The sequence below is a fragment of the Homo sapiens genome, chromosome 10, assembly GCF_000001405.40.
Source record: "Homo sapiens chromosome 10, GRCh38.p14 Primary Assembly".
In the NCBI taxonomy this organism is placed as follows: domain Eukaryota; kingdom Metazoa; phylum Chordata; class Mammalia; order Primates; family Hominidae; genus Homo; species Homo sapiens.
In genome coordinates, this window is record NC_000010.11 from 49870112 (window position 1) to 49884093 (window position 13982).

Here is a 13982-nt window from a genome sequence, read left to right on the forward strand (position 1 = left end):
ATATGTTGAATCCTTAATCCCTAATATAGCTAAATTTGGAGATAGGGCCTGTGAGCAGGTAGTAACAGTTAAATGAGGTCATAGGGGTGGGACTCTAATCTGATAGAACTGGTGTCATTTTAAAAAGCAAGGTGAGACTACAGTACTCTCCCTCTGCCATGTGAGGACAAGATGCCAGCCAACCTATAAGCCAGGAAGAAAGCCCTCATCAGGAACCAAAGCAGCAGCACCCTGATCTGCAGCTTCTAGCCTCCAGAACCATGAGAAAATAAATTTCTGTTGTTTAAGCCACCCAGTTCTATGGTATTTTATTATGGCAGCCCAAGCTGACTAATAGAGATCCTTTGCATGGTAACCACAACAGTGCCTACCCTGTGTCATCTAGTTTTCAGCAACCCGGACTTGGATTACTTAATTCCGTTTTCTTTGAAATGATGTGGCATTGTTATTGGTAACATACAATTCAGTTTATTCTGAGGAAAGAAAAGCAGGGCTTTAAAAGCATTATGACCTGAGTAAGTAGCTCACTAAAAGATTTCTAACACAAAAGCATGCTTTTGAGCATAAGATCTAGCTTTCCAAAGGCATTTAAAAATTATAGAGACTCAGTGGCTATGAATGATGAGGTACTCTTCATCTGCCTCTAGTCATGTGCTCTGACTTTAAAACCAGAGACCCTTCAAGTAAAGTCCATGTTAATAAGTGCTGAAATGGGTAATTATTTTTCATGATTACAACAGCAAGCTTATGTAACTACGCTGAGAGGGAAAAGTTAATTCCATGAGAAAATCCTATTGAGCGACTGAAATAAATTAGGAAAAGGAAAGGAAATGCACATTTCAAATGGTTCCGTTTTCAATGATCTGAAATCTGTATTCAGGGTCAATTTCTGGAAAAACAATTTATATGAATATTTATTTCCTAAAAAGAATACTAATGTATGCTAGTATTTTAACCAAATCTAAAATCAGATCTCTTTTTAAAAATAGTTTAAGACAGCCTGTGTGATAATTTTTATTTAAAGAACCTATCTTTCTAAAATATTTAATACACATACTCTTATAATCCAGTTGCCAGCTGAAAGAAAGGCTCTTTGAGGGTGCAGGTTTCAGCATGGCTTCTTCTAGAACAGAGTTTATTTAAGTCAAAATGAAGAAGCCACATGGCAGTTTAATTAAACATCCTATATCAATAAATATGATTTACTAAATGAATACCTAAGGCTCCACTGCAAAATCTCTTTCTAGGCTCACTATGCACTAGAGGAAAGCAATATGAATACAAAAGTAGCCACCACCTTTTCCTAGAGATGAATTGATGTACTATACAATTCAATTAAAGGATAAAAGTTCTTCTTCAATAGAACTATTGCATAGTGAGGAGAAAATGGCTGTTGCTCTTAAGAAATAATTCTCTAAAACATAGGAAAAGTGTCCCTAGCTTCCATATGCGGTCATCTGTATAAAATCACATAAAAGGTCACATACTTCACAACCATGATGACAAATTATTAACTTTAGGAGCCTCGTGAGACTGCAGATTTATTATCCTGGCGAGACAGACTTTCCTGGAAGATTTTATGGCTGTTATTATCACCCACTACAAATGAACACCACTGTTTATTTTGTAGGTACAAATCTTAAAGGTACAAATCAAGCAGAATCTCAATGTACTCTGTTTATTCACTGCTCCAATCCTAACTTCAAATCACTGTGTAACCAAATACACTTTCCCATCTTCCTGATAGAGCAGGGGGAAGTGGGGGAAGTGTCGTGGTGGGTGTCGGGGGTAAGAAGTGGAGATAAAGTCAGAGGAGATGAAGCAGGTTTAAAATCCTTGTGACAATTCTCAGACTTGGCTGTTGTGAAATTTTAAAGTTGTATGCACAGCCACTCAAATAAAATGAATTATCCTGATATGGAAGCAAGTAAAAATAACATAAATAGACAGGCAAACAGCATGAATGAAAGTCATCCCAGGAGTGATATACAATCTGAGGGACAGCTTTTGGGAATGAGGAGGAAAACAAAAGGACTGAGGCTGGAGCCCAAGAAACGGGTGAAGGGGGAGAAGAAAGATGGGGCAGGGAAGATAGAGAGAAGAGAAAGGCTGATAGAAATGGGGTTAGAGAAAGAGAGCATGAGAGACAGACACACAGAGAGAAAGACATACACAAACAGGCTCAGAGAAAGTGAGGCCTTCTCATAATCATTAAGCATCATTCCCCCGCCCCCACTTTTTTTGTAAACTTCCCAACACCTTTCTTTTTTAATTTAGATTTTTCAAGTCCTGGGTATGTATATTTGAAGGCATATTTTAAGTCAGCAGTGTGCACACAAACCAGGCCACAATAACTCCTCTACATGTAGGGAGGACATTTGGGCATTTAATTGAAAGATAATTACAGATTATTAAAGAAATCAAACACAAAAAGCCAGTCAGGAAATCTTACTTTGTTCTAAACAAAACTGTTGGTATTTTCAAAGACAGACATCAGTCAAAGGTCAGACACTTATTAGCTGGTGTTTTTCTTTGCATACTTATAAGGAGAAACAGAGTTGAATAAAATCTTTCCCTGAATGGAATACTGATAACATTACTGGAATTTTATTCTAGGTATATCCATCCCCACCCCCACCATGACCCACTATGCCATTTCAAGTTAAGTAATAATCCCATTAGTATACAGTAAATCAAACCCAAAGCACTACAACCTCCATTTTAAAATACGAGCAAGTGATAGTCCGGAACCCAGCCAGAAAGTCATTCCTGGCTCTTCTGTGAGGCACTCTGCCATATGGCCCCAGCAGCATTTTCAATACAGGGAAGAGGCAGATGTAAAAACCTCCTGGGCTGACCACTGCTGAGACCCACAATTTATCTCTGACCATCTAGTTTCCATGCAAACTCAGAAGCATCGATGCTAATCACATTGGAAGCCTTTATATGAATGTTTAGGACCTGAAAGGCAAGCAGGGAAAAAGGTCAGGGGTATTTACCATAACTAAGCAGGGCTTAAAGAACACAGCAATAAATAAAAAAGGGAAGACATATTCAATTTATTGACTTCAGCCTCCCACCACATACTCTTACCATTTTTCTTATTCAACTAGCTAGCCATACCTCTCTTTTGAGATTAAATACACTCTCACACACACAACTCCCCACTGCTAGAAACTATAATCATAAGTAGAAACTATGCATAAAAGGAAATAACACAATAAAATGCTACATAATCAGCTTAACAAATGGCTCATCAGATTACGTACTGGATCTTTCAGAAGCCACATAAAAGTGGGGGGACTTTCAGTTGTTTGGCATTTCCGGAGCACTCAGAGCATTTTGCTCATGACAGGCTTTGAGATACAATAAAAGAAAACTGAGTTTGAGTAGAAGACAGTGATCAAGTTCCAGTTGTGCTAACAATTCATTTATTCTCCCTGAACCTTATCAGTAGAGAGGCTTCCCTACCTAGAAAATTCCATAGACAGAATCAAAGCAAGCCATCAAAAGACAGTATCAATGGTGATGTACAGTTGTTGTTCCTATTATTTGCTAGCTTAGGCTCATTAAAACACACACCATCTCACAGTGAAAGGCAAGTGCAGACATCCTGGCTGCTTAGGATTCTCTACAACATTGTGGAGACTAACACTAGGTTACCTGCCTTAATTCATTTTTCATGTTCTGCTATCCAAAAGAACATCCATCACCTAGGAAGACAAGAATACGCCTGATTTCAAATCTTCAACGGAACTACTTAAACTCTTATTTGGTGAGAATGCTATTTGCTGCAAGCTTAAATCCGTCACGGTCACTCTGGACTTACAAATGGCTTTAATTCATTTAATAGATCAATAATTATTTCTAAAAATAGTTCTAATTTTTGACTAGTCATGAGGTAAGAATTATTAATTCAGTTCATTCAAAGGGAGACTGTGTAGCAGAATGGTTAAGGGACACAGCTTCTCAAAGGAGACTACATCCTGCGTTTGAATCTCAAGTCTACTAGTTACTGTGTTAACTTGGTGAAGTAACCTCCCCTCTCTAAACTTCCACCTCATTTTAAAAATGAGTGTAACAACAATTCCTAATCAATATTCTAATTCATATGGTTAATGTGACAAGTAAATGAATTTCAGATAATGCTGAGTAAGCTAAGGTACTTGCGCTAAAATAAGGCATTACATAATGCCCAGGCAAAAAAAATCAACATTCATTTACATAAAGCAGTTGCATGGTTCTAATTAATATTCCCTTCATTTAAAAAAATGGCCCAGCCTTGATTCCCATCAAGCCCAACATGCTGACTTTCAGCGCTAACCAGCTCAGTCTTCAGGATAAATGACCATGTACAATGAAAAAGATAAACCTGCCATCGCCAAGAAGCCCCAGACTTCCCCACTCAGAAGGTTGGCTGAAAAACAAAGGTCTTTTAAAATTAAAATATATAATAAAATTGGCCGGGTGCGGTGGCTGATGCCTGTAATCCCAGCACTTTGGGAGGCCAAGGCTGGTGGATCACGAGTTCAGGAGACTGAGGCCATCCTGGCTAACACAGTGAAATCCTGTCTCTAATAAAAACACAAAAAATTAGCCGGGCGTGGTGGTGGGTGCCTGTAGTCCCAGCTACTAGGGAGGCTGAGGCAGGAGATTGGTGTGAACCCGGGAGGTGGAGCTTGCAGTGAGCCGAGATGGCGCCACTGCACTCCAGCCTGGTCGACAGAGCGAGACTCTGTCCCAAAAAAAACAAAAACAAAAACAAAAAAGATATATATATGAATGTAAATTCTGGTAATTGGTTACAGGAAATTGGAAGTCACCAAAGCCAAGCCTTCCCAAGACATCTTGACCTCTGCCTGTCAGCCATCCAGCAGCGATGGGTCTTTGCTCCCTACAGAACTCTGTGGATTCTATTTCTTCCATAAGAAATAAAATGCTATATGCTGAATAAGTAAAATAGGGTGAAGTAGACACAATGACAATGTGTCTATGGAGGAGTAATTGGAAAGAAGCTATCCACACTAGCTTTTTTGGAAAAGCCTCAAAAAATCTGTGAAATTCCACCCTCAAAATCAAATTACAAAAATTGTCCACTCTTATTAACTTTGTGTTCAGCTTGATTTCTGACAACTGACTTGTTCTTCCCTGAACTATTTTTTCTTCTGCACGTAAAAGTAATATATGGGCTGGGCGCAGTGGCTCACGCCTGTGAAACAGGTTTTTTATATAACTGCAATTGCAGATTCCAATGCTCTGTGTTTTCTCTCAATTCTACCCCAATTACTAACGAAATCAGAAGTAAAAGCTATGTTTGATTATATGTGGCTTAAAAATAAAACATCTCGTAATTCCTAAGACTAAGACATAATATGAAAAGTAAAAGACAAGAGACTGAGAACAAAGGGTCTAAATTATAGTCTTAGCACTCTGCCACTAACCAGCTCCATTACTCAAAACAAGTCACTTAATTCTCAAATATTTCATCTGTAAAATTTCTTTTCATTCATTCAAGAAGCATTTATTGAAGGCCTACAATGCATGAGACTTTGTGAAAATAACAAAGACAGTTAAGATCCCTGTCCCACTGAAATGATTAAATAAGCAATTATGAAGTAGTCTAGGTAGTACAGTAGGAAAAGTAGGGGACAGTAAAGGCACACATCTGGCTGTACAAACCTAAGGAGTACCTTGGATGCCTCTCTCTGCCCATCTACCAATCCTGTCCATCACCATCACTCTGGCTACCCCTTCAAATGTCTCCACACCTCTGTCCCCTCCCCTACACTATCCCAGCTAACATCCTCTTTCCCGGTGCATTGCAGTAGCCTCTCCAATTGGGTAAACTCATGTACTCTGGCCCCTCTCTGCTTGATTCCCACATTACAGCCAAAATAAACTTTTGAAAATGTAAATCTGAACACATGTGCTAGTCTCCCTCTACCCACATATCTAATCCTCCAATGACTTCCTGTTGTTTTCAGATGGCCTAGTGAGGCACAGCATGGTCCAGCCTCCAGCTACTTCTGTAGCCTCTACCATCTCCATGCTCCTTCTCACTCTCTGTGCTGCAACCACACTGTCTTCTCTCAGTCTCTGGACATGTCAGGTCCTTCTTGCAACAGTGACTTTACACATACTTTTCCCCTGCCTAGAATACAACCACCTCTCCTTCTCCTTGGCAAAACTCTTATTCACCCTTTTGTACTTAATTCAAAAGTTGCGCTGGGCATGGTGACATGTACCTGTAGTCCTAGTTACTTTAGAGACTGAGGTGGGAGGATCTCTTGAGCCCAGGAATTTGAGACCAGCCTGGGCAACATAATGAGACCCAGTCTCAAAACAACAACAGCAAGAAAAGTTATTTCCTTGAGGAAAGTTTCCTTTATTAAATTATATCTTTCTTTAATAAAACGTCATGGTGCTGTGCACCTCTCCAGAGGTACACACAGGCTAGCATAGGAACCTAGAGTAGCAAACCTATCCTAGCAGAATCTGAGACACCAGAAAAACTGATACGTGAACTGAGTACTGGAGGAGGAATAAAAGCCATGTGGAAAAGAGAAGGGCATCTGTGACGTGAGGTTTGAAAATGAGACAATACTACATAACAGTAAGAACTCAGAAACTGGCTTCTCCTTTCTCTGTAACCTTATGGCACTTAATACACTGTGGGGAATATTGCAGTTGCTCATTGTACATTTGAACTAAACATTGACTAAATACCAGTATCTAAAAACAAACTTACCTACTGTACAAACTTGAAAAATAGATTAAAAATATGCCCCTTGCAACTAATATTTATGTAACCAAGGAGCATATTATATATAAAAAAAAAAAACTATCCTGTTTGCTAACACTAGGATTTTAAAGAAATTTTCTTAGATAACATTATTTTTCATTCTTTGCTGCCCCTTTCTTAGTGTTGATAGTAGAGGGTAACCATATATAATAACAAATTATCATCAATATTTTAATGTTTGAAGGTCATAAAAATATAACCCAAGAATTATGACAGTCTAAGAGCAGCTTATATTCAAGTCATCTGCTATACTTTCATCTGCTAAACACACAATAAATGCACTGAAATGTCTAGTTTTTAAGTTTAATTAAAATTTACATTAGGAACTAACCAGCTGAATTCTAGAATTCTTCTCATCTTAAGAGAGTAAAACATTCTCCAATTTTAAAAGGCTAAAAAATATGGTCTTCGGGGCTGACACTCTGATATTGGAGAGAATTGTGAATTCATTTCTCTGCTGCCATGTGGAGTTATAAGAAATGCTGCCCACATAAAGTAAGTTGCATTAGAAACAATGACACTCTAGCAGCAATGAGCACACCTATCACCTAGATGTTGGTCTCTAAATACCGTTGTACAATAAAAGAGACCAGGAATCCTTGAGAAAATGGTTCATTCCAGGATTGAGGCATGGAAAATGTAAGATGAATCTGGAACAATGTATGATTCCAGAATGAAAGTTAATGCTCAAAAAAAGGATAGGGCTTATCAAAAGAACATAGGAGTCAACCTAAAGGAGCCCTAATGGCCAAAGCTAGAATAATTAAAGCAGTAAAATAAATAATACTGTTTAATTTAAACTGACACAACAAAATAAATATCCATGAGTCCATTCTGATATTTTAAAAACGGGGGAAAAGGGATAGCTCTTCCTTACAATGGAATTTCAATTAGCAAATGTAGAAGAGGGAAGCAGAAAATTCACAACAGGCAAACACTATGGTAATAATCATTGCAGACAAGATGCACCAATGGATGCCAAAATTAGTAGGGATAAATGTGAGGCAAAACAACATTTGCATAGTGTTTTATCTTTTGGAAAATATTTATTAATCACAAAAGGAAATATGGTAACTTTACAGTGGAAAAAGTCAGCAGACACTACCTTCGCCAACTGATCACCAGTAATAAGAAGTATCATGATCCCCCTGATACGGTGCACTGAGAAGGACACAGGATCATTTCTGTGGTATTCTCCCAAAAATGCATGACCTCATTCCAATCCTGAAAAAACATCAGCCAAACCCAGACTGAGAATATTCTCCAAAATAACTGTGATGAGTACTCTTCAAAACTGTCAAGATCACGAAAGAAAAGAAAAAACAAGGAACATGTTGGAGGAGACTAGGTAATTAAATGTAACTGGGATGCTGGGTAGGATCCTGGAACAGAAAAAGGATACTAGAAAAACTGGTAGAATCAGACTGGGTGCAGTGGCTCACACCTGTAATCCCAGCACTTTGGGAGATAGAAGCAGGCAGATCACCTGGGGTCAGGAGTTCGACACCAGCCTGGCCAACATGGTGAAACCCCGTCTCTACTAAAAATACAAAAATTAGCCAGGCGTGGTGGCATGCACCTGTAAGCCCAGCTACTCAGGAGGCTGAGAAAGGAGAATCGCTTGAACCCGGGAGGTGGAGGTTTCAGTTGGCCAAGATTGCACCACTGCACTCCAGCCTGGGCAACAGAGTGAAGCTCCGTCTTAAAATTAAAAAAAAAAAAAAAAGTGGTGTTACTGATCATTCTACTTTGGAGACAAAAGCAGTATGGCAAACAAAAGTGGGTTTTGTTTGTGTATCCGCTCTATGACTTTATCTCCTACTCTGCATACTGCCCCACCCTCAGAGGCAGGCTCTGGGTGACCAGAGGCAGTGAAGGGCATTACACACAGCCTGCTGGGAAAGGGGCACAGATTATAGCAATTTTCTCAAGTCTCACACTGAAATCAGGGAAGAAAACTCATATATTCTATTCATGGGTCCTATAAAGATAATTCTCAAGTGAAGAAAGAAACAGAGGTGGGGATATGGGAGTAGTGAGTAGGAGGGAAGAAAAAACATTAGTTTGCCAAGAAGATTCTTTAAAATATTTTTGTTTGTGTAGAAGATAGAGAAAGCAGTCACCTGGGAAAATGGCTGGAATCTAGAACTTTATCAATACCTTCACACTGTATTAATTTAGTCGAGCAGTTTGAACATTCTTTTGTTTTTCTTTTAAAAATATTACACTGATAAATTAACCATGTCTATAAAGGGTCAAAATCACCTTTCACTTTTCATCAAAACAATTACATTTTTCAAGTCTCATAAGACAGCTCATGACTTTAGACTCTCATTTTATAAGACCTTTGTAGAAAGGAGGACTTTTCCTCTACCTTTCACAGTATTTCAGCATTAAGGAATATAAGCACAACAAAAGTTCTCGTGAATAATCAAACTGAAGAGGCATGTGGAGTCCAGAGAACTGGGGAATCATCTGAGAGGACAGAAAGAACATGGGCCCTGGAGTAAGACAGGCCTGAAATAAAATCTCAGTTCTGTGACTTACTAGCTCCTGGATCCTAATCAAGTTCTTTTAACCTCAATGAACTTTAATCACCTTGCCTGCAAAATGGTGAAAATGTCACTTAAGTACTGTAAAAATTAAATAAGACAACTGCATATAAAATGCTTGGCCTATGGAATTCATTCAAAAAATATTATTAGTTCCTTCCACCTTTGTCTTTTTCATTGTTAAAGAGGTGTTTTCTGAAAACATACCGATTGAAGTTAATGTCTGGGTAACTAGAATACTCCGATTTCATCTTAGCATTTCGTCGTGGAAATGTGCAGAAGAAAGCATTAGCTAAAAGACTGGCAATCTGTTCCTGCGACATTGTGATGGAATGATTCATCTTCTGTTTCAGGAGTGGTATTGGCTGATAAAAGAAACAAAAAAATACAGACGAGAAGAGCAATAATTAGTTTAGCAATTTCAAAAGCAGAGGCACCAAATTGCATTTGCTAAATTAAGGCAGAAATAATTTCAGGCCATTCTTGAATCCTTAAATCAGCAATATTGTAAAAGTCAAGGGCTGTTTATCAGGGATGATTCAGAAAATGCACTTATTTGACAAACTGCAGATTTCTAATCAATAATAATGATAGTGAAGAGAATATAAAACATTACTTATTAGTGAAAAACAAGATTGCTTCAGCAAGTAAATAAAAACACATTGCCCATGTAATGAAAAATTAAAACAAAAGATGAAACAAAAATATATAACATTGTTTAAGCTAAATTTTGTTCTTATTTATATTAAAAATTATTGGCCAGAATAATCTTTCTTAGTCCTCAATAAAATGATCTAAGATAATTCAACAAATAAGTCTTGACCCTCTTATTCCAAATTACACTTCATACTCACAATTTCTTTATAAGAATCAAATCTAACTTCATTAAAGCTATTAATAGAACATGTAAAAACCACCATACGGACATGCATAAGTTGTAAAAAGATAAGACATTTCTTACATAACCAAACATTCCAAGTCAAGGAAGATGTAAGACATTTTTCCTTCAAATCTTTTATGTCTAAAATGTCTTCTAGTTATGCCACCAAATTCACTTACCTTTTATTGTCAGTATAATCCACACGACCTGAGTATTGTGTTCAGTGGGTTTTATTCTGTTTGTAAACCAAAAATAAAGTTCCAAGACCCCCAACCAACTGAATGAACCCCTCCTCTCGACCAAGGGGATTCCAAAGTTAACCTGAAACACTAGTCCACACCATGATAGGAAGTGTGGGTCTGACACGCCTCATTATATGCTCCTCACTTTAGAATTCAGCACAAGTGACCAGCATTAACAAGAAAACAGAGACCTTAAAACTGATGAAACAAATCTTTTTATAATAATAAGACTCAATTCCAGCCTGACTCGAGTATAGCATCACATGACAGATAGCAGACCTTGAAAGAATTGAAGTATTTTACCCCAAAATATATTTCTTTGACATATTTTGAAATAGCCCTGCAAAGCTGTCTGTTGGGAAAATGTACATTCTGTAAAGAATCCCTATTCCTTTCCAGGTGAGAATTAAGAAAGGGCGTGGTACCTTTTTAGATCTGATAAAAGCTCTGAAGCTACAAGGTTTCATCCACATCATAAAACCTTGGTCTCCACAAACCCTTATCTTAACCCAGATATTCCTTTCTGTTGATTCCAGGTCTTTGGATAATAACTGTTCCAACCAATTGCCAATCAGAAAATCTTTGAATCTACCTAAGACCTGTAAGCCCCCTTTACATGTATTGATTGATGTCTTATGTCTCCCTAAAATGTATAAAGCCAAGCCTGACCATCTTGGGCACATGTTCTCAGATCTCCTGGGGCTGTGTTACAGGCCACTGGTTACTCCCATTTGGCTCAAAATAAATCTCTTCAAATATTTTACAGAGTTTGACTCTTTTTGTCAACATATTTTAAATATTAAACTATGTTTTTAAAGACATGCTGATAAAATCAAAGACCAACTACCAGTTTATCCTTCAGCTGTTAAGTTTCAAAATGCTCCCACAGAATATTTAGAGATGCATTTCATTCTCCCCTTCAGTAAGACCCAGAACTAAGAGTTTCAGGTAACTGCACTCATCTCAAAATGGCATGCCTAGAGCAAACTGTCCTGATCATACCTCAGGAGTGGACACCCAGAATGAACCTGAGGAAAGGGCAGGCAAGACAAACCAAAACTGCGGTGCTGAATAATGAATGCTTTTCTAAGTACAGAAGTACACACCACTGCTAGAATAAGAGTTTGCCAGAAAAAAGAACAGATTAAACTTGCAATTCAACTATTTCTCTTGGAAAAATTCAAAGGTAAACAAATAAGCAAAAGGTAAAGAATATTTTCACTATGTTATACAAAATTCTCTCCCCTTCAGGTCTTAGCAATCACCATTTCTGAGAAAAATAGAGAGCTCATATTGATCTCCATTTTCCATCCCGTGCATTTGTTCACAACCAAGCAACGAGTTTAGAAAAGGTGACAGTGCATCAATGGCTTCAAGCAAAGTGCTGCTTGGTTTTAGGAAGAAATGAGTTTTTAACTACCATTTACCAAGTTATTCAGAAAAATGATTTTAAAAATTAATAGTAAAGATTTCAGGATTAATGGACTTCAAACACAAACATTTCCTGTCTCCCAAATAAACAAATAGTATAATTTTAAATAGAGTTAATGATTTCTCCTCTCTTGGTGAGGAGAAATGCCTAAAAACTCATTATTTGGAGAAATCAGGAGATGTAAATCTTACTGTCAAGCAATCGGCTCAACAAAATAAGAGGCTGGTTACTGTGAACCAAGATATTTCAAAAAGTTCCTGACCAAATTTGTTTCCTTTAATTTTATTTTGATAAATCTAAAATTTACCCTTTAGATTTGGCCTAGAGTACTTCAATGTGATAAATTATTAAACACCAACATATACAATTTAACTTGCCACAAGACGTATTTTGATCTCAAATAAAAATCTTAACTTTCACAGCAGAGATTGACTTTTCAATAGGGGGCAAAGCACAGAATTTCCATGCTCTCCCCGTTGATATGCTAATGGAGAAGAAAGTCACTGGGAGAAGCCAGGACAAAAAGCTGAGGACTCAGGGGTCTGATTTTGGTTCCAAGGGACTTGTTATAGCTTACAAAGTTAGATACCTTTGAACAAAAATTTCTCATTAAATAAAATATGGAAACTCTCATATGCACGAGGGGAAGAGGATTAAATGGCCCACACCCAAAGGCTACCTACTACCTATTATTGATTATGAACTACATATTGAATTCAAAAAGCATATAATTAAGCACCATGCAAACCAGGGACACAAAGAGGATCTCCCTTTAAGGAGACTATAATCCAGTGGCAAGAGATATATAATGACAAGAATTACAAAACAATGATTTGAGTGCTTCAAGAGGGATGAACCTTGCCTGGGAGGCAGGGAAGGCTTCACAGGGGAAGTAACAGACAGGCATACCTAGGAGGTAGGGAGAGAATTTACTAAGTAAGGAGAGAAAGGAAAAAGAACAAACATGGAATATGATCAAGCAAATAACTTCCAACAGAAACAAGAAGATATGTTTTAAAATATATTTCCCCTGCCCAATAGTAAAACTTATTTCAGGCACAATGCATTACTGAGGTAAAATTAAAGTTACATAAAATTGAAAACATCACACTGGAAAACATTTCATGGGTCTCAACTGAAGGTGGCATAGTCCAAGAAGGCATTTGGACATGTATGCGTTGTTTTCTGGTTGCCCCAGTGACCCTATTTGTGGTTTTTGGGGTGTCCTAATGACATACTGCAATGCATGGGACCATTATACACATTCAGAAATTGTTCCACCCAAATGTCCATAGGGCCCCTGTGGAGTAAAATGCTAGCAGAACCCTGGCTAGCAGCCATGCAGCAAGAGGCGTTGGCCCTAGAAATAAAAGACAAAGGCAAATTCAAGCACGGTTGTGAGAAACACAGGAATAAAATTATGAACAAAACAAACCCTGTGGAGGTTTGAAAATACGTTCACAAATTCTTTGATGCTCCTCTCTTTAAGAGGTGGAGTCTTGGGCACGGTGGCTCATGCCTGTAATTTCAGCACCATGGGAGGCAAAGGCGGGCGGATCACATGAGGTCAGGAGTTCGAGACCAGCCTGGCCAAAATGGTGAAACTCCGTCTCTGCTAAAAATACAAAAAAATTAGCCGAGTGTAGTGGCACACGCCTGTAGTCCCGGCTACTCAGGAAGCTGAGGCAGGAAAATCACTTGAACCCAGGAGGCAGAGGTTGCAGTGAGCCAAGATCATGCCACTGCATTCCAGCCTGGGGGACAAGGATGAAATTCAGTCTCAAAAAGAAAAAAAAAAAAAAAAACAGGTGGTCTAATACCCCTCCCCCTGGGTACTGGCTAGCTTCCAATGAACAGAAAAACAGCAGAAGTGATGCTAGGTACCTTGAGAAAAATAGGTCATAGAAGACACTGCAGCTTCCTTGCTCTCTCCCTTGGATTGCTTGCTCTGGGGAAGTTAGCTATTATGTCATAAGGACAATCAATCAGCCTATAGAGAGGCCCATGTCAGGGCGTTCTGCCAACAGCTCTGTAAGTAAGCCAACTTAGAGGTGTGTCCTTCAGCCCCAGGCAA

At 38.3% G+C, this 13982-nt stretch overlaps 1 protein-coding gene across 15 annotated transcripts in view; it reads right to left on the bottom strand.

The window, feature by feature from the left end:
• The window catches only part of PARG (poly(ADP-ribose) glycohydrolase), a 123749-nt gene that overhangs the window by 51833 nt on the left and 57934 nt on the right, over positions 1-13982 (bottom strand). For 14 of the 15 annotated variants that reach the window (NR_130169.3, NR_136752.3, NR_136754.3 and 11 more), the window contains one exon: positions 9562-9719. Coding sequence is in view for 7 of the 15 variants with exons in the window: in NM_001303486.3 (NP_001290415.1) it covers positions 9562-9719 (158 nt within the window). In the remaining 8 variants the exon portion in view is untranslated. Of the gene's footprint in view, positions 1-7907; positions 8027-9561; positions 9720-13982 lie in introns of all 15 variants that reach the window. The other variant, XR_007062014.1, reaches the window with a different exon arrangement.